Source organism: Homo sapiens, chromosome 16, assembly GCF_000001405.40.
Source record: "Homo sapiens chromosome 16, GRCh38.p14 Primary Assembly".
Classification (NCBI taxonomy): domain Eukaryota; kingdom Metazoa; phylum Chordata; class Mammalia; order Primates; family Hominidae; genus Homo; species Homo sapiens.
Window position 1 is genome coordinate 69,259,441 of NC_000016.10, and position 21,720 is coordinate 69,281,160.

The following is a 21,720-nucleotide window of genomic DNA, read 5'->3' on the forward strand; positions in this document are numbered from 1 at the left end:
GCCAGACTGGCCTCAAACTCCTGACCTCAGGCAATCTGCCCGCCTTGGCCTCCCAAAGTGCTGAGATTACCGGAGTGAGCCACCGTGCCCGGCCTCTGATTTTTATCTTTCCATGTGTTGTTTTCTTTGGAACTGGACTCTAGGGAATTAAGAGAAAGTATCTTTTTTTTTTTTTTTTTTTGAGACGGAATCTCGCTCTGTCGCCCAGGCTGGAGTACAGTGGTGTGATCTTGGCTCACTGCAACCTCCGCCTCCTGGGGTCAAGCGATTCTCCTGCCTTAGCCTCAGCTTCCTGAGTAGCTGGGATTACAGGCACCCACCACCATGTCCGGCTAATTTTTTATATATTAGCAGAGACAGAGTTTCACCGTGTTGCCCAGGCTGGTCTCGAACTCCTGAGCTCAGGCAATCCCCCTGCCTTGGCCTCCCAAAGTGCTAGTATTACAGGCATGAGCCACCGTGCCCAGCCAAGAAAGTATCTTTATTTGAGTATACAAATTTATTTGAAGAATGCAAAATTAAAATAGATTTGCAGTTATGTATTTTAAACCTGGCAGGTTTGGTGACTTCTGTCCTAGCTCACTTTTTTTTTTTTCTTTTTCCACACAGATTGATAGAGCTACATTCTCCTGATAGCAGGAACACGTTGATCCTACGCTGCAAAGATACAGCCACAGCACACTCCTGGTTCGTAGCTATCCACACCAACATAATGGCTCTCCTCCCACAGGTGTTGGCTGAACTCAACGCCATGCTTGGGGCAACCAGTACAGCAGGAGGCAGTAAAGAGGTGAAGCATATTGCCTGGCTGGCAGAACAGGTAGGCTGGGAGGCAGGGCAGAGTATCACCTGGTTCCCATTCAGTGCCAGGATGGTTCCTCATTTAATATATCTGTAATACTTACCATGCAGTTAGGACCTGGATATCTAGCTTGCAGATCTTTTGTTTTTCAGTGTTTTGTTTCACCTCCCTTTTTCTCCTTCTACCTTTGTCTATTTGTTGCTAATTATCCACTCAACCAGAAGTAGCTGACATAGTAATCACTATCATACTATTACTAAAGAAGTTCTTATTACCATCTCTGTCCTTAATGACAGAGGATAATTTTCATGATTTTAGATCAGGGTCAGCTAACTTTTTCTGTAAAGGGCAAGATAGCGTCACGGCTACTTGACTCTTCTGTTGTAGCAAGACAACTGTCATAGGCAATAGGAAAATGAATGGGTGTGACTGCGTTTCAGTAAAACTTTATTTACAAAGACAAGTAAACTGGTGGTTGGCTGGATCTGGCCCAAGTGTCATAGTTTCCCAACCCTTGTTCCCTACTGGAAGAGCTTCTAGGGGCAGCAGGCTATAGTTGATTCCTCTGCTCTGGGAAAAGTATAAAATATACAAAATACTTTACAATTAGACAGAGGTACAATTGTCTTCCATAACTGAAAAGTGAAAAAAAGAGAAACAAGAAAGTCTGAGTGGATGTTGAGTTAAAGGAAAAGAACTTGAAAACCCAGGTTATTTTAGATCCCAGGTTTGACAAAAGGAGAGTAAAAGTTCCGTGTGACATTATGTTACATCTTTTTTCTTCACCATCAACTAGGCTAGAGGGGCTTGAAAAAAAAGGACTGGACTAGGGGGTTCAGAGATGAGTGTTTAAGTGCTAGCTCTGTTTTTCACTGCTTTTGAGTCTTTTCGAAACTTACGTTTTGAATCCTAGTTGTGTGTGCAAAGGGCCAGGGAGTGGACTAAATAACTGGTTTCCAAAAAAGCAGAATCAGCACAGGAAGGATTTTGTTCTTTCATTTTTGATTTTTTTTTTTCAAGTACAGTTTCCCACTGGTTCCCACCTTCCTCCCCAACATAGTTCTAACTTTTTTTTTTTTTAAGTTGAGGTTGATTTTATTTGAGGAGGATATTGTCCCCAAAGCAGTTCTGATGTGGTAGGTCTGTGGGTGGTGCCTGGTGATCTTGGTGGTACCAAGTAATTGTGGTAATTGAGGGGCCAATTTTGGTCACCAGCGAGAGTAATTTTTTTATTTTATTTTTTGCCACTTCTCAACTTTTTATGAACATTTCAAATAAAATTATAATAAATGAGAATGTAATATTAGTACAGTGATCATTTCTATAAAGCATAATTAGAATAAAAAATTAATGAAAGTCATGATATAAGTACTTATGACTTTGAAAATTTTAACATTTTAGTTGTGTTTATCATTGTTTCTATATTTTATATGCTAGTTGAAAAACTGAATTGAATAGTAATTGTTCTGTGCTTTTGGCATTGTTCAAAATCCTCATGATTTTAAAAAGGTAGCACGTTCACATGGTTGAAAAATCAAACAAAAAATTAATGGGTGAAAACTCTTGCCCTCATTCCCGTTACCTATCCACCTGTTATGCCTTTTGCCCTGGAAAGGTAACAACTCTTATTCCTTTCTATTGAATCTTTTGAGAGTTTCTTTATGCAAATAAAAAGAAAATATGAGGCAGGGTGTGGTGGCTCATACCTGTAAAACCAGCACTTTGGGAGGCTGAGGTGGGAGAATCGCTCAAGACCAGGAGCTTGAGACCAACCTGGGCAATATGGCAAAACCCCATCTCTACAAAAAATGTAAAAATACAAAAAAATGAGCTGGGTGTGGTGGCATGCACCTGTGTCCTTTCACACATGCACTGTCCAGATCCTTTGGCTCGTATGTCCAGGTAGACCAGATAAGGATATCAACATTATCTGCATATATTCAGTTCTTAAGTTTCTGACAGTAAATAGTAAAGCTTTGGTTAGTAAGGGATTTATCCAAAGGTTCACATCAGTTCCTAAGTTTGGATAGTGAGAGTTCAGAGGGTAGGGGATATTTCTTTTTTGTTGCTTTTTTTTTTTGGAAATGGAGTCTCGCTGTGTCAGCCAGGCTGGAGTGCGGTGGCGCGATCTTGGCTCACTGCAAGCTCGGCCTCCCGGGTTGTTGATACTAATTTTTATGTGACTGATTTTACCGTTTAACTGGTTATATTGGTTTTTGGTTTTTTGTTTGTTTTGTTTAATTTCCATGTTCATAGTGTTGTTTTTTTTAATTGGCAAATAATTATGTATATTTATGGGATACGGTATAATGTTTTGATACGTGTATACATTGTGGAATGCTCAAATCAGGCTAATTAACATATCCATCACCTCAAATATTTATCATTCTTGTGGTAAAAACATTTAAAATTTTTTATTTTAATGTATTTTGAAATATACAATTTTTTTTTTGAAATGAGGTCTCACTCTGTCGCCCAGGCTGGAGTGGAGTGGTGCGATCTCAGCTCACTGCAACCTCTGCCTCCCAAGTTCAAGCGATTCCCCTGCCTCAGCCTCCCGAGTAGCTGGGATTACAGGCACATGCCACCACACCCAGCTAATTTTTGTATTTTAGTAGAGATGGGGCTTCACCATGTTGGCCAGGCTGGTGTTGAACTCTTGACCTCAGGTCATCCACCCGCCTCAGCCTCCCAAAGTGCTGGGATCCGGCCAATACATTATTATTAACTATAGTCACCATACTATGCAAAAGATTACCAGAATTTATTCATCCTGTTTAATTGAAACTTTGTACCATTTGACCAACATCTCACTTTCCCCATCTACCCCTTACCTCAGCCTCTAGGAACTACCATTCCACTCTACTTTTTTTTTTTTTTTTGAGACAGGGTCTCATTCTTTCACCTGAGCTGGAGTGCAGTGGTATAATCATGGCTCAGTGCAGCCTCAACCTCCTGGGCCCAAGCAGTCCTCCCACTTCAGTATCCTGAGTAGCTAGGACTATAGGCACATACCACCACACCAAGCTAATTTTAAAATTATTTTTTGTAGAGATAGGATCTCACTGTGTTGCCCAGGCTGGTCTCAAACTCCTGGGCCCAGGTGATCTTCCCACCTTAGCCTCCCAAAGTGCTGGGATTACAGGCATGAGCCACTGTGCCCAGCCTGGGTATGTTCTTTTTTTTTTTTTTTGAGACGGAGTTTCGCTCTTGTTGCCCAGGCTGGGGTGCAATGATACAATCTTGGCTCACTACTATCTCCGCCTCCCAGGTTCAAGCAATTCTCATGCCTCAGCCTCTTAAGTAGCTGGGATTACAGGTGTGCGCCACCATGCTCAGCTAATTTTGTATTTTTAGTAGAGATGGGGTTTCACCATGTTGGTCAGGCTGGTCTTGAACTCCTGACCTCAAGTGATCCACCTGCCTTGGCCTCCCAAAGTGCTGGGATTACAGGAGTGAGCCACCGCACCCTGCTGGTTATATTTTTAAAAGGAAATTTTTTTGAGTCCACCAAATGGAGGACATGTATTATCTATTAAATGAGTTTTTTTAAGCATTTGAGTATTTTTTTAACTTTGTATGCCAAGACTTTTTTATTTTAGTGATATATACAAAATAAATGTAATTTTTTTTTTTTTGAGGCAGAGTCTCACTCTGTTGCCCAGAGTCTCACTCTGTTGCAGTGGCGCAATCTCGGCTCACTGCAAGCTCCGCCTCCCAAAAAAAAAATTTTTTGTGTAGAGATGGGGTCTCACTTTGTTACCTAGGCTGGTCTTGAATTCCTGGGCTCAAGCGTTCCTCTCTCCCGCCTCCCAAAAGCTGGGATTACAGGCATGAGCCACTGTACCTGGCCTTTGGCTTTTCTCATTAATGCCCAGGCCTGGGTCTCCCACAGTCGCGAAGAGGCACTGCTGCTGCTACTATCTTGTCTCTGCACCTGACCCTTCCCAGGACCTGTGATGCCAAGGCCATTGTGAGGGGCAAAAAAGTCAGGGTTTAGCCCCAGCTAAGCCGAGGGCTCTCGCTCTTCTGGTCTCCTGGGTCTGCCCTACCTGAAGACATGAGTGGTGAGTTGGCTCCAAGTAAAAGCACAGAGCATGTATCCACCTCGCCCATTCCCTGACAAATAATGACATATACTGCATATTTTCCAAGCATGGCAAAGTTGTAAAGGTTACTATAATGAAATATAAAGATACCAGGAAGAGTAAAGAGGTTGCATTTATTTTATTTTTGGATAAAATACTCTGCACAAAACAGTACTAGGGCAATAAACAACGGTTATTTGGTAGAGTGATAAAAGCAAGCATCACTATTGACAACAGAAGAGCAGCCGAGTTCACCCAAAGGCAGAACTACTTTGATGAATCTAAGTGTTATGTTTGTGGGAAAAGTGGACACCTAAGTTACGCCTGTCCGAAAAATATGCTTGAAGTACGTGAACCTCCAAAGAAGAAAGAAAAAAAAGAAAGTTCCTGAACCAGTAGAAGAAACTGAAGAAGTAGAAGACAGAGAAGATTAAGGGGAGAATCCTACTCTTTGACAGCCTTATGCCACAGCATTCCAGCAAGCCAAAACTGAGAAAGAAGAAAAGAAGAAAAAAAGAAAATCCAGTTCAGGAGGTCCCTCAACATCAGATGATTCAAGACGTTCAAGAATAAAGAAGAGCACATATTTCAGTGATAAGGAAGAACTTAAGTGATTACGATTAAAATTACATCTATTGGCCGGGCACGGTGGCTCATGCCTGTAATCCCAGCACTTTGGGAGGCCGAGGCGGGTGGATCACAAGGTCGGGAGATCAAGACCATCCTGTCTAACATGGTGAAACCTTGTCTCTACTAAAAATACAAAAAATTAGCTGGGTGTGGTGGCGGGCGCCTGTACTCCCAGCTACTGGGGAGGCTGAGGCAGGAGAATGGCGTGAACCCAGGAGGCGGAGCTTGCAGTGAGCCGAGATCGCGCCACTGCACTCCAGCCTGGGCAACAAAGCGAGACTCTGTCAAAAGAAAAGAAAAGGCAAGACAACCAAGGAAAAGGTTTATTTTAACAGTCACTACTTTATGCCTTTTAACTCTCAAAGTGCATAAAGACTCAAGTTAGGACCATATACATTCAATTGGTGTTAGTGTAATTAGTTATTTACTTTTTGCTCTCCATTTTTTAGTGTGATAATAAAATAAAGAACCAGAAGTACATTGCCTGTGAAAAAGGGATTAAGGGATTTGGGAAATGAATAATAACTATTAGTATTTTCTCATCTTTAGTGCTATCCACCTCTGTTTATTAGAAATAAAATTTGGAGGCCCGGAGTGGTGGCTCACACCTGTAATCCCAGCACTTTGGGAGGCCAAGGCAGGCGTATCACGAGGTCAGGAGTTTGAGACCAGCCTGGCCAGCATGGTGAAACCCCGTCTCTACTAAAAATACAAAACTTAGCTGGACGTGGTGGCGGGCACCTGTAATCCCAGCTACTCAGGAGGCTGAGGCAGGAGAATTGTTTGAACCTGGGAGGCAGAGGTTGCAGTGAGCCGAGATTGCACCATTGCACTCCAGCCTAGGTGACAGGGTGAGTCTCCGTGCCAAAGAAAAAAAAAAAAAAAAAAGAAATAAAATTTGGAGAAAGCTGTAGTTTGGCCAGGTTTGTGCATGTGTAGGTGTTCAAACACAAGCAAACTAAAGCCCTAACATTCGTATCCCTTTTGTCTCTGGCCAGAAACTCAATGGTGGGATCCCCAAGGCTGCTTATGCTGATACCATAACCAAAAAACACATACTATATAGAGCAGACAGCATTTGACTTCACTGAAAGCAAACAGTATCCTTAAAAGTTAAGGCAAGGCCAGGTGTGGTGGCTCATACCTAGAATCCCAGCACTTTGGGAGGCTGAGGTGGGTGGATCACCTGAAGTCAGGAGTTCGAGACCAGCCTGGCCAACATGGCTAAACCCCATCTCTACTAAAAATACAAAATTAGCCGGGCATGGTGGCGGACGCCTGTAATCCCGGCTACTCAAGAGGGTTAGGCAGGAGAATCGCTTCAACCTGGGAGATGGAGGTTGCAGTGATCCGAGATGGGGCCATTGTCCTCCAGCCTGGGCAACAGAGTGAGAGTCTATTGTAAAAACAAAACAAAACAAAACAAAACAAAAAAAAGTTAAGGCAAATAGGCAATCAGAATGATTAAACTTAGTTTTCATTTTTTTTTCCAATGGTAAGTAGAAGAGGGAAAAGATATTCTCTAAAAACTAAGGACTTGAAAGAGTTAAAAGAGTAAACACTTTGAGAAACGTGTTAAACAAAGGTCTCTTTCTTGAAATTGAACATTGCTCCTATTGGCATTAGCATTTTTCCTTTAGGGCTCAAAATACCTTCTTTGGAAAGAAATACATTTAATTTAGGTTTTCCAAATGCTTATACTCTAGCCTTCAAAAATCTCTCTCTTATAACTTAAGGGGAAAAATTATTTATTTGTTTACTTTATTTTATTTATGAAACAGGGTCTCACTCTGTTGCCCAGGCTGGAGTACAGTAGTACAATCTCAGCTCACTGCAACTTCCACCTTCTGGGCTGAAGTGATCCTCCCACCTCAGTCTCCTGAGTCGCTGGGACTACAGATGCACACCATCATGCCTGGCTGATTTTCGTATTTTTTGTGGAGATGGGGTTTTAGCATGTTGCCCAGGCTCAAGTGATCTGCCCACTTGGGCCTCCCAAAGTGTCAAGATTATAAGTGTGAGCCACCACACCCAGCCAGTAAAACATTTACTTTTAAAAATCAGTTTATCTTTTTTTTTTTTTTTTAAGACAGAGTCTCGCTCTGTTTCCAGGCTGGAGTGCAGTGGCGCAGTCTCAGCTCACTGCAACCTCTGCCTCCCGGGTTCAAGCGATTCTCCTGCCTCAGCCTTCTGAGTAGCTGGGACTACAGGCGCGTGCCACCATGCCCAGCTAATTTTTGTAGAGATGGGGTTTCACCATGTTGGCCAGGATGGTCTTGATCTCCTGATCTCTTCATCCGCCTGACTTGGCCTCCCCAAGTGTTGGGATTACAGGCGTGAGCTACCATGCCTGGCCCAAAATCAGTTTATCATTTTAACCCTTTGGGAAGACAGAGTTTTATATGATATAACCTATTGAAATATTGTCTGTAATAATCTTGGGGACAAATACCTAGTAGTGAACATAAACTTGAAATTTTTTTGGGATATCTGTGATCCAAAAATGTATGAGTCTAAGAGAACCTCTTTAGAGCTGATATTGTCCTTCCAGACATTGGAGAGTTAACCATAGACTAATATAGTCTTGGAAAACTCAGGTTCACTGATAAGAAATGCATAATTCTTTCTACAGTATTTTGCTTGAATTCTCAGAGTTAGGTTTTGTTTTTTTTGCTTTCAGCACATGGTAGAGCACTGGTCCCTTCACTGGCTAGAATTAATTTCCCACTTTGGGGATCTAGCTCGTGGCCTTGGCTAAGAGAAGAGCGTCCCAGTGGTAGATGTTATAGCACAGAACCAAACCACACATGCCACTTTCAGATTATAGATGTAAGGTTCTCTGTCATGTCCAGATTACCTTCAGAAGTCTTTAAGGAAAACACGTGAAAAGGGCTCTGAAGGCAACACTCTAACCGATAAGTGATTCATCAATTTGAATTCTCCTTGAAGCTGTCAGTGATGCTGAGCTGAAGGATCAGTGTTAAAATGCAGTGTTGTTGAACAGTCCTTGCTCAAATGTCTCCTGAGGAGGGAAAAGTTTTGATGATGACAGGGCTTTTCTTGAATATAGTCTTTGGCTTTTTGGCCTTGGATCCTTGACAATATGGATAAATAGTAGTTGTTTTCTTGAAGTTTAAAACCTTTTTAGAGATAACTGAGCATTATACAAGTAAATTCAATGGTACCTTCTAAGCTGAAACATAAACTTCTAAAATACAATGGGCCGGGCGCAGTGGCTCACACTTGTAATCCCAGCACTTTGGGAGGCTGAGGTGGGTGGATCACCTGAGGTCAAGAGTTCGAGACCAGTATGGCCAACATGGTGAAACGCTGTCTTTACTAAAAATACAAAAATTAGCTGGGCATGGTGGTGGGTGCCTGTAATCTCAGGTAGTTGGGAGGCTGAGGCAGGAGAATTGCTTGAACCTGGGAGGTGGAGGTTGCAGTGAACCAAGATCGTGACATTGCACTCCAGCCTGGGTGACAGAGCAAGACTCTGTCTAAAAACACAATAATAATAATAAATAAAATACAATGGAGAACTCTTGGAACATAGTTTAAGTGTTTTCTTAAGCTGCTAAGTTCTGGGTTAATACAATTTTTAAAAAATACAGCACAGTGAGGCCAGGCGCGTTGGCTCACGCCTGTAATCCTAGCACTCTGGGAGACCGAGGCGGGTGGATTGCCTGAGCCCAGGAGTTCGAGGCCAGCCTGGGCAATACAGTGAAACCCCGTCTCTACTAAAATACAAAAAATTAGCTGGGCGTGGCAGCATGCACCTATTGTCCCAGCTCCTCGGGAGGCTGAGGCAGGAGAATTGCTTGAACCTGGGAGGCAGAGGTTGCAGTAAGCAGAAATCGCGCCGCTGCCCTCCAGCCTGGGCAACAGAGCAAGACTCCATCTCAAAAAAAAAATAATAACACTGTGGGTCTAGTGCAGTGGCTCACGCCTGTAATCCCAACACTTTGGGAGGCCAAGGTGGGCGGATCATCTAAGATCAGGAGTTTGAGACCAGCCTGACCAACATGGAGAAACCTCGTCTCTACTAAAAATACAAAATTAACTGGGTGTGGTGGCACATGCCTATAATCCCAGCTACTCGGGAGGCTGAGGCAGGAGAATCACTTGAACCCGGGAGGCTGAGACTGCAGTAAGCCGAGATCGCACCATTGCACTCCAGCCTGGGCAACAAGAGCGAAACTCCGTCTCAAAAAGAAGAAAAAAAAAAATACAACATAGTGAACCGTGATCCGCGTTTTAAAAAATACGATAGATGGGCCAGGCATGGTGGCTCATGCCTGTAATCCTAGCACTTTGGGAGGCCAAGGCAGGCGGATCATGAGGTCAGGAGATCGAGACCATCCCGGCCAACATGGTGAAACCCCATCTCTACTAAAAATACAAAAGTTAGCTGGGCGTGGTGGCGTACACCTGTAGTCCCAGCTACTCGGGAGGCTGAGGCAGGAGAATTGCTTGAAACCAGGAGGTGAAGGTTGCAGTGAGCCGCGATTGTCCCGCTGCACTCCAGCTTGGCGACAGAGCAAGACTGTCTCAGAAAAAAAAAAAGATAGATGTTAACAGATTACATTGCACAAAATAAGAGAGTTGTGTTATTTGGAAAATATTTTATTCAACTATCTATGTATGTATATATTGGGTTGCAATGTAAACTCTATTATTGTAAGTCTTGATCAAAAACTTTGATGTTTAGATTATACATACTTATTTGGTAGTAGGAGTTTCTGTCCTATGTTTAGAAGATATTACACATCAGACATTCTGAAACTTACAATTTTGAACATATTACTATATATTTAATCAGAATTGACAATATTGGCCAGACGTGTGGCTCACGCCTGTAATCCCAGCACTTTGGGAAGCCAAGTGAGACCCTATCTCAAAAAAAGAAAAAACAGAATTGGCAATGTTCAGTTATTATGGAATGGGGAAAAACTATGTTGTATCACTAGATAATGTTTATAGCTCTAATACACACACCACTTCACACCTCCCGGTGGAGAGTCCCTACCAGTGTAAACTTGGTGAGATGTTTCCTGAATGTAAAGTCCATCAGGTTGGGAAAACAAAATGGAGACCCATTGTGTTAGGCCATCATTGAAGGAACTTTTACAAAGACGTGATTATAGTTAGCCCTGATTTCTGAATTTTTCCATTGTAACAGGCAAAACTAGATGGTGGAAGACAGCAATGGAGACCTGTCCTCATGGCTGTGACTGAGAAGGATTTGCTGCTCTATGACTGTATGCCGTGGACAAGAGATGCCTGGGCGTCACCATGCCACAGCTACCCACTTGTTGCCACCAGGTAAGTAAGACTAAAGATAAGGAAGTAAAATATTTATCCTACTCTAAATCTACAAAAGAATTTTAAAGTGAATTCTGTTATCTTAGGTGCCTAAAAGAGCATTTAAGTAGCGGATATAGTTGATGCAGACAAAAATTTTTTGTTTTACAACCTTATTGATAATTTTGCAGCTCCTAGCTCAGAATAAATTGTTTTTATAATGAGCGTTTTTGTGTGTACCTTTTAAGTTGTCAAGGAACTTCCTAACTGTTCCCTTACAAGACTTGCTTAGTCATGAAGATTATAGGGTTTTTTTTTCTTTATTTTATTGACTGTGACTAGAAAACCACTGAAATTGTGGCAGCCTTTTGACTGAGTGACGAAATCATTTAAACCAGAATGTGGTACTGTGGATAAACCACTTAACTCAGCCAAAATATTCTTCAACTTCTCTTTCTAATGTAAGAACACATCATTTTGATTCTATGAAATAAACATTGATTTGACCTGAAGCCACAGGGTGTTTCTAGCATTCCAGATATGGAGGGCTGAAAGGGAAAAGAATAGAGAAATTTAGACTTGGGAGCCAAGGTGTTTTAAGGGATCATAACTGTGAAACTAGAAAACATATCCAAATTCAAATTTTTTTGGACTTAACAAAAGAATCAGGTGTTGATATAACTCAAAAACTACACATTAAAGAAGAGCGCCATGGAAAAGTATTTAGTAGTCAAAAGAGCTAAATGATGAAACTATCTGGAATATCCCAGTGGGAATAGTGGGGATTTCCTGCTTTGAGGAGACAAAGATTCATGTAAGGCAGAGTATTCTTTGCATTACTGGAAAAGTTTCACTTTAAAAGATTTCCTTTAACTTGCCACATATATTATTCTTCCTTTACATATATTATTCTTTTTATAAAAAATATATTTTTCACATGGCCTTCCAGTAGTATCTCCGTAATTTAGAGCTGGAGCTCCTAGATCACAGAATGAAGTAAAGGATTTGGTGAGCCTCAGTATTAGGGAGGTGTGTCCTCATTAATTCCTTCAGGACAGAATAGTCCTGCAGAAAGACTGAATTTAATTATGTTTCTCTTTTAAAAAAATAAGATATACACTATTGTTTTTTGTAAATTTCTTAATATTTGGTTTTTTAAATCCCCACTAAATTATAACCTCCTTGCAGTCAAGAACTCTGACTTAGTCATCTCAGCACTTCCCACAATGCTTTGCGTGTAGTAGGCCATCAATAAATCTTAGTTGAATTAAATTATTTACTTAAGTTATAGTTTCTCTGTCATGGTTACATTAGGAACTTGACAGTAATCCTACAAAAATATGTAACCATGTCTTAGTAATTATAATTAGAACAATTAAATTTATATTTTCCAAGATTTAGAATTTAGGAATATGGCTGTGGAGATCTCTTAAGTTTAAATTTTGTAGAATCAGCTTACACTTTGGTTCTGATCATAGAATGCAAGGAGGGTAGCTTTATTCTTTTTTAAAATGTGTGCACCTGGAAGCATGAAGCAGAAATTTACCACGTTCCGTAGAAGAGCTTTTGTTTAATACTAGAAATTATAATGCCATAAGCAAATAATTTCTTGGCTATAGAGTAGATTAGGCATGGACCACCAAAGCACTTTGGTACTAAAGATGGAGATGGGGTGGTGTATGTACTATCAGTGGTATTAATTTGCAAGTAGGGAAAAGATACAGACAAGATTTAAGAGCTAAAACTATAAAACTCGTAGAATAAAATATAGTAGATCTTCATGACTTTGGGTTAGGCAGAGTCTTCTCAGATATGATACCAAAAGCACAGTTAACAAGAGAAAAAATAGATAAATTGGACTTTCAGAAACTTAAAAGCTCTTGTGCTTCAAATGTCACCATCAAGAAAGTGAAAAAATAACTCACAGAATGGGAGAAAATATTTGAAAATCATATATCTGACGAGACTTGTATCTAGAAATATAAAGAATTCTTGGCCAGGCATGGTGGCTTACATCTGTAATCCTAGCACTTTGGGAGACCGAGGCAGGCCTATCATCTGAGGTCAGGAGTTCAAGACCAGCCTGACCAACATGGTGAAATCCCATCTCTACTAAAAATATAAAAATTAGCCAGTGTGGTGTTGCACACCTGTAATCCCAGCTACTCGGGAGGCTGAGGCAGAAGAATTGCCTGGATATGGGAGGCAGAGGTTGCTGTGAGCTGAGATTGCACCACGGCACTCCAGCCTGGGTGACAGAGTGAGACTCTGTCTCAAAAAAAAAAAAAAAAAAAGAGATAATTATTCCAAGTCAGTAATGAAAAGATTACCCAATTAAGAAATGGGGCTGGGCGCAGTGGCTCACGCCTGTAATCACAACACTTTGGGAGGCCAAGGCAGGTTGATCACCTGAGGTCAGGAGCTCGAGACCAGCCTGACCAACATGGTGAAACCCCGTCCCTACTAAAAATATAAAAATTAGCCAGGCATGGTGGTATGGACTATAATCCCAGCTACTTGGGAGGCTGAGACAGGAGAAGTGCTTGAACCCAGAGATGGAGGTTGCAGTGAACTGATATCTCACCACTGCACTCCAGCCTGGGCGACAGAGCCAGACTCTGTCTCAAAAAAAAAAAAAAAAAAAGAAATGGGAAAATGATATGAATAGATACTTGTCCAAAGAAGATATACAAATGGCCAATAGGAACATGAGAAGATGTTCAGCATCCTTAGCCATCAGGGAAATGCAAATCAAAACCACAGTGAGATATCATTTCCCACCCACTGGGATGGCTATAATTAAAAAGACAGATAAAATAAAAAGTGTGAACAACGACGTGGAGAAAATGGAATCTTCATACACTGCTGGTGAGAATGTGAAATGTATACTTGCTGTGCAAGGCAGTCTGGCAGTTTCTCAAAAGCTAAACATAGAGTCACCCTGTGACCCACAATTCCATTCCTAAGTTATGCCTAAGAGTAACGAAAACTTATGTCCACATCAAAACATACGTGACTGTTCATAATAGCATTATTCACAATAGCCAAAGAGTGGAAACAACCTAAGTGTCCATCAACTGATGAATGGATAAAGTGTGACATATCCACACAGTGGAATACTATTCTGCAGTTAAAAACAATAATGTTCTGATACATTCTGCAGTGTAGATGAATCTTGAAAACATTATGCTAAGTGAAAGAAGCCAGACAGAAACAACCACATACTGTATTTTTCCATTTATATGGAAAGTTCAGGATAGGCAAACCCAGGATAGACAGAAGGTAGATTAGTGGTTGCCGGCGGGGGAGCTAATGGGTACAGGATTTCTTTTTGAGATGATGACAGTCTGCTAAAATTGAATGTGGTGATGGTTGCAAAATTCTGAATATACTAAAGACCACTGTACTTCAAGGGATAAATTGTATGGTGTGTTTTATATTTTAATAATTCAGTTATTTAAATAAAATAATTAAACCCAACAAGATTGAAAAGAGAGACTAAGACTGATTCCTAATAAACTGAATGTTATACTAAGTAAGCGATAGCATGCTACTGAAACTTTCTGTGCCACATATTTTTCATTTGTTAAGTGCACCCTAATGAGATAGGGTGGGTGTTAGTATTAAATGAGTTAATACTAATAAACTGCCTAGAATGGTGCCTGACACATTGTAACTGCTCAAGTGTTAGCTGCTTTAATTATAATATTTATTATTAAATGAAAATTATGCCCAAGAAGAATTCTTTGTAAAAAGCATAATAATTAGGCCAGGTGCAGTGGTTCACGCCTATAATCCCAGCACTTTGGGAGGCCGAGGCTGGCGGATCACGAGGTCAGGAGTTCAAGACCAGCCTGACCAACATGGAGAAACCTCGTCTCTACTAAAAATACAAAAATTAGCCCAGCGTGGTGGCATATGCCCGTAATCCCAGCTACTTGGGAAGCTAAGGCAGAAGAATCGATTGAACCCCAGAGGCGGAGGTTGCAGTGAGCTGATACTGCACCACTGCACTCTAGCCTGGGCAACAGAGCAAGACTCTATCTCAAAAAAAAAAAAAAAGTATAATAATTAGTTTAATTTGGTCATTGTTAAAAGAGGAGCTCTGGCCCAGCGTGGTGGCTCACGCCTGTAATCCCAGCACTTTGGGAGGCCACGGCGGGTGGATCACGAGGTCAGGAGATTGAGACCATCCTGGCTAACACAGTGAAACCCCGTCTCTACTAAAACTACAAAAAATTAGCCGGGTGTGGTGGCGGGCGCCTGTGGTCCCAGCTACTAGGGAGGCTGAGGCAGGAGAATGGCATGAACCCAGGAGGCAGAGCTCGCAGTGAGCCAAGATCGCGTCACTGCACTCCTGCCTGGGAGACAGAGCGAGACTCCATCTCAAAAAAAAAAAAAAAAAAGAGGAGCTCTTAGCTGGGTGCCATGGCACGTGCCTGTAATCCCAGCTTCTTGGGAGGCTGGAAGAGTCACTTAAGCCCAGTAGTTCAAGACCAGCCTGGGCAACATAGTGAGACCTCTGGTCTCAAAAAAATTAAAAGAAAGGAAAAGGAGCAGTTTTTTGATCTGCCACCAATTTTTACAGATAGTCAAAGTTTCGTATTAAAGGTGAGGAATTCAAACATGCTCATACATGCAAATTAAACTCACCATTAATTAAATGGGTGGGTCTTATAGAGCTTCCTAGACTGATTGTCTGCCTTCCTTCCTCCTTCCCTTTCCTTTTTCTTCCCCTTCCCTCCCTTCCCTTCCCTTTCCTTTTCCTTTCTTTTCTCCCCTCCCTTCCTCTCTCTCTCCTTCCTTCCTTCTCTCTTTTTTTTTCTGACGAACTCTCACTCTGTTGTCCAGTCTAGAGTGTGCAGTGGCAGGATCATAGCTCACTGTAACCTCAAACTCCTGGGCTCAAGCCATCCTCCCACCTCAGCTTCTCGAGTAGCTAGGACTATAGGCATAAGCCACTATGCCAGGTTAATTTTTTATGGAGGTGAGGTCTTGCTGTGTTGCCCAGTCTGGTCTCAAACTCCTGGGCTCAAACAATTCTCATGCCTCTCAGTCTCCCAAATTTCTGGGATTATAAGTATGAGCCACCATACCAATTCATGTTGTTTCTTAATAAGTTTAATTAATGTAACAACAGGGATTCTTTACTCCTTGTTCAGGAAGTACTGGTGGATTAGAATAAAAAAAGACAGATGAAAGGTTTAGTTTTTCCATGTGGCCATGTTGGCAAGGTAGAATTGGTTGAAGTCACAGCACAATAGAATTAAGTGGGGCTTAATGATCCTCTACCAACCAGAGGCGGGTAAAGGGTAACCCTGAGAGAGACAAGAAGATGAAACCAGACCAGAAGGTATCCTGCAGAGGGAGGCAAGGCCAGAAAGTGTTTTTAATGTAGGGGAAAGGGAGTGTTTGAGATTTAAGTGAGTAATGAGAAGGGGCTGAATGTTTAATTTCCCTAATTCTATTGTTAATACTTTGGACCATGTTCTTATGAGTGGATGAGACAGAATAAAAAAGGATTGCATAAACACATAGGTAAGGAAAAGAAATTAAGGACCTTTATTATGTTAAAAAAAGTAGATAACTCCTGAAAAATTAAGAGTTGATTGTAGTTCAAAATCAAATAACATGCTTAGAGTAATGTAAATTAACCATGAGCTGCCATTTATATTGGATTGCACATTTACAGATTCTTCAAAACCAAAGCTCTGTACGTGTGTGGGTTTTAATAGCTGATAGTTCAGGCCAATGAGGAATAAGTAAAGCATGAAAGTGATAAATGAAGAGGATTTTTATTTTACACATTTCTTGAGATTAAAGCCAGATACATGACACAGGTAGAAAGACACTGGTTTTATAGGTGCTCTGGATTTTTCAGGATATGGATTTTGTTGTCTTTTCCTATAAGCCTTCTTTGGAAGAGAAAAAAGATCTCAAAAAAAAAAAAAAGTGTGGTGACTTTAGAATGTGGAATATTGAGTAGTGCTGTGCTTATGGGACTTGTGGGGCAAAAGCTGCCAAAATGCCTTTGCATGAACTCATCTGGCCTCTCCACAAAAGGGGGGCCTTTTAGCAGTGTTCCCAACCAACCGCTGCTCAGCGAGAGTCCAGCATCTGGTTTGAATTAGATTCCCTTTGCCAAATATTTCATAATCAAATCTGTAGGAAAAAATTCTCTTAGACTTTACGTTTTTTAATGTCTGTTTTGGGATTAGCATTCAAACTGAATATGATAGAATATCTATTGCTTTCACCAACACTTTGTCTTACTTGGATCCTCTGTGGAGTAATTTTGAAACTTACTTAACTCTTTCTGAGGTAGCTAATGTTTAATTGGCATGTTGGTTTTTTGGGAATCAGCTCAGTAAAGCAGTTCTCAAAGTATACTTCATGGACCTCTGCGGATCCCCTTTTCAGGGGCCTTGTGAGTTCAAAGCTATTTTCATAGTAATATTAAATGTAATTTGCTTTTTTTCATATTGTTGATATTTACACTGAGGATGTGTAAAATTGCTGGCACCTTAGCATGAATCAAGGCAGTTGGCACGAAACTGTTTTGGGAGTCATTGTATCCGTCCCCACGTGGACTTGCAGAGGGAAAAAAAAATGCCAGTTTAACTTCCAAATGTCTCTGCTGAAATAGTAAAAAATATTAATTTTATTTAATCTTGACCCTTGAGTATTCATCTTTGTAACATTCTGTGTGATGAAATGGGAAGTACTCATGGAGCACTTCTGCTGCATACTGAAGAATGACTGTTGTCTCAAGGAAAAGCACATGTGTGATTGAATTCTCAGCTGAACTCCATACATGCTTTTTCATGTAAACATCATTTTTTATTTGAAAGAATGACTGATTGACAAACACGTTTAGTGAGACTTGGGTATTTGTCACATCACCAAAATGAGTCTGTAACTTGAGGAAAACACTGATAGTATTTGTTGCCAATGATAAAATTGTAGCTTTCAAGCAAAAATTAGAATGCTGGAAAACTCATATCTGCTACTGTGAGCTTGACAGCTTCTCAGTACTTGCTTTTCTGGGGAGATTAGTGGTAATACCAAATGAGATTTTTTTATCTTTTATAATGAACCATTTTTAACATGGAAAATCTGTGTAACTCAGTGAACAAATATTTTTCCAAATGAATGATATATGGTGTTGCAAAATTATGCATGCATAAAAAAGATCCATTGAAATTTCAAGGGAAACCAGTTGATTTTTAATGTAAACATGATACAGAAACTATTGATAAGGTTTCATATTCCACATTGCAATTAATCTTTACCAAACCACTTGTTGAGTTTTGGTTCTGTGGACAGAAGGCTATCCACGTAATGTGAATGGGCTATTAAAATACTCTTCCCTTTTCCAACTACATATTTATGTGAGGCTGTAACTGCATATTACAATAGAATGCTGAAGCAGATGTCAAAATTCAGCTATTTTTAAGCTAGACATTAAAGAGATTTTATTTATTTCTCTTTGATGTACATTCCTCACCAAATTTTTAAAAATCCTGTATAGAAAACATTGTGAGGTGAGTGAATCCTTATAAATGAGGTAATATTTTGTTCTGTTACACTGATCTACTTAATACTTCTTTAAAATAGGGAAAATATAAAAAGTGAGGCCAGGAGTGGTGGCTCATGCCTGTAATCCCTGCACTTTGGGAGGCCAAGGCATGTGGATCGCTTGAGCCCAGGAGTTCAAGATCAGCCTAGGCAACATAATGAGACCTTATCTCTACACAAAATACAAAAATGAGCCAGGCACGGCGGCACGCGCCTATTGTCCCAACTACTTGGGAGGCTGAGGTGGGAGGATCACTTGAGCTCAGGAGTTCAAGATCAGCCTGGGCAACATAATGAGACCACATCTCTACACAAAATATAAAAATGAGCTGGGCGTGGTGGCGCATGCCTATAGTCCTAGCTACTCAGAAGCTGAGATGGGAGGATTGTTTGAGCTGGGTAGGTGGAGGTTGCAGTGAGCCAACACTGTGCTACTATACTCCAGTCTGGGGGACAGAGTGAGACCCTGTCTCAAAATGAAAATTAAAAAAAAAGAAAATATAAAAAGTGAATAGATTAAACTGTAAAGCAAAATACTGAATAGTTTCATGACCTTAAGGAAAATTACTTTTCTTATGGTTTTCCTATATGTATACTTCACTTTTTTTTGTAGGGTTTTTTTTTTTTTTTTGAGACGGAGTCTTGCTCTGTCACCCAGGCTGGAGGGCAGTGGTGCAATCTCTGCTCACCGCAACCTCCACCTCCTGGGTTCAAGCGATTCTCCTGCCTCAGCCTCCCGAGTAGCTGGAATTACAGGTGTGCACCACCATGCCCGGCTAATTTTTGTATTTTTAGTAGAGATGGGGCTTCGCCATGTTGGCCAGGCTGGTCTCAAACTCCTGACCTCAGGTGATCTGCCCGCCTTGGCCTCCCAACGTGCTGGGATTACAGGCATGAGCCACCACACCCAGCCAATATTGCAGTCTTATGTATTCCCTAAGAAGCCTTACCATCTTTTTGGGGGAGGGGGTGATTTCAATCTGGGCACTAAGGACACTTCTTGCTGTTGGGTTGGTTATTGTTTATTGATGGACAGAGGTGGGAAGAGTGTGTGTGTGTGTGTGTGTGTGTGTGTGTGTGTGTGTGTGTGTTAATAAACTCATAACGTGTGCTCGCTTCGGCAGCACATATACTAAAAAAACTCATAACATGGATGACAGAGCCTTAGCAGATAAATTTTTATTTTAAAAAACTCACAAAATTTACCATCTAATTATTTTTAAGTGTACAGTAGATTAGTGTTTACTATATGCACATTGTGTGTAGCAGATCTCTAGAACTTTATCTTGCAAAACAAACTTTATATCTATTGAACAACAATTCTCCATTTCCATCTCTCCCTCAATCCCTGATAACCACATTCTACCTTCTGTTGTTATGAGTATGATTACCTTGGATACCTCATGTAAGTAGGCTTCATGTAGTATTTGTCTTTTTGTGACTGGCTAAGTGTGGTAGATTATGACAGTATTTCCTTTTTTAGGCTGAATAATATGTTCCATTGTATATTTATACCAAATTGTCTTTATCCTTTCTTTTGTCAGTGGACATTTAAGTTGCTTCCATCTCTTGGCTGTTGTGGTTAATGCTGTAGTGAACATAGGTGGGCAAATATGTTCAAGATCTTGTTTTGAGATCTTTTGGATATATACCAAGAAGTGGGTCCTTTGCCCTTTTTTTTTTTTTTTTTTTTTTTTTTTTGAGACGGAATCTCACTCTGTCGCCCAGGCTGGAGTGCAGTGGCACGATATGGGCTCACTGCACACTCCGCCTCCCGGGTTCACGCCATTCTCTTGCCTCAGCCTCCCGAGCAGCTGGGACTACAGGCTCCTGCCACCATGCCCGGCTAATTTTTTGTATTTTTTTTAATAGAGACGGGGTTTCACCGTGTTAGCCAGGATGGTCTCGATCTCCTGACCTTATGATCCGCCCACCTCAGCCTCCCAAAGTGCTGGGATTACAGGTGTGAGCCACCACGCCTGGCTGTCCTTTGCCCATTTTTTTTAATTAATTAATTAATTAATTAATTTATTTATTTATTGATCATTCTTGGGTGTTTCTCACAGAGGGGGATTTGGCAGGGTCATAGGACAATAGTGGAGGGAGGGTCAGCAGATAAACAAGTGAACAAAGGTCTCTGGTTTTCCTATGCAGGGGACCCTGCGGCCTTCCGCAGTGTTTGTGTCCCTGGGTACTTGAGATTAGGGAGTGGTGATGACTCTTAACGAGCATGCTGCCTTCAAGCATCTGTTTAACAAAGTACATCTTGCACCACCCTTAATCCGTTTAACCCTGAGTGGACACAGCACATGTTTCAGAGAGCACAGGGTTGGGGGTAAGGTCACCGATCAACAGGATCACAAGGCAGAAGAATTTTTCTTAGTACAGAACAAAATGAAAAGTCTCCCCTGTCTACCTCTTTATACACAGACATGGCAACCATCCGATTTCTCAATCCTTTCCCCACCTTTCCCCCCTTTCTATTCCACAAAACCGCCATTGTCATCATGGCCCGTTCTCAATGAGCTGTTGGGTACACCTCCCAGACGGGGTGGTTGCTGGGCAGAGGGGCTCCTCACTTCCCAGTAGGGGCGGCCGGGCAGAGGCGCCCCTCACCTCCCGGACGGGGCGGCTGGCTGGGCGGGGGGCTGACCCCCCCACCTCCCTCCCGGATGGGGCGGCTGGCCGGGCGGGGGGCTCACACCCCCACCTCCCTCCCGGACGGGGCGGCTGGCCGGGCGGGGGGCTGAACCCCCCACCTCCCTCCCGGACGGGGCGGCTGGCCGGGCAGAGGGGCTCCTCACTTCCCAGTAGGGGCGGCCGGCTTTGCCCATTTTTTAACTGGGTGGTTTTCTTATCGTTCAGTTTTAAGAGTTCTTTATATATTTTGGATACCAGTCCTGTATCAGATATGTGTTTTGCAAAATTTTTTTGTCCGCAGCTTGTCTTTTCATTCTCTCTTTTTTTTTTTTTGAGACGGAGTCTCGCTCTGTTGCCCAGGCTGCAGTGCAGTGGCGCAGTCTTGGCTCACTGTAAGCTCTGCCTCCCGGGTTCACGCCATTCTCCTCCCTCAGCTTCGCGAGTAGCTGGGACTACAGGGGCCTGCCACCATGCCCGGCTAATTTTTTGTATTTTTGGTAGAGACAGGGTTTCACCGTGTTAGCCAGGATGGTCTCGATCTCCTGACCGTGATCCGCCCGCCTCGGCCTCCCAAAGTGCTGGGATTACAGGCATGAGCCACCGCGCCCGGCCTCATTCTCTTAACAGTATTTTTTGCAGATCAGAAGTTTTTAATTTTAATGAAGTCCAACTTACCAA

At 41.7% G+C, this 21,720-nt stretch overlaps 1 protein-coding gene and 1 pseudogene across 4 annotated transcripts in view; both read left to right on the top strand.

The window, feature by feature from the left end:
* SNTB2 (syntrophin beta 2) overlaps positions 1 to 21,720 on the top strand; it is a 121,889-nt gene that overhangs the window by 72,277 nt on the left and 27,892 nt on the right. For 3 of the 4 annotated variants that reach the window (NR_172088.1, NR_172089.1, NM_006750.4), the window contains 2 exons: positions 610 to 820; positions 10,703 to 10,845. Coding sequence is in view for 1 of the 4 variants with exons in the window: in NM_006750.4 (NP_006741.1) it covers positions 610 to 820; positions 10,703 to 10,845 (354 nt within the window). In the remaining 3 variants the exon portion in view is untranslated. The remainder of the gene's footprint in view (positions 1 to 609; positions 821 to 10,702; positions 10,846 to 21,720) is intronic. The other variant, NR_172090.1, reaches the window with a different exon arrangement.
* On the top strand, positions 4,694 to 5,507 carry LOC100421641 (zinc finger CCHC-type and RNA binding motif containing 1 pseudogene; annotated as a pseudogene).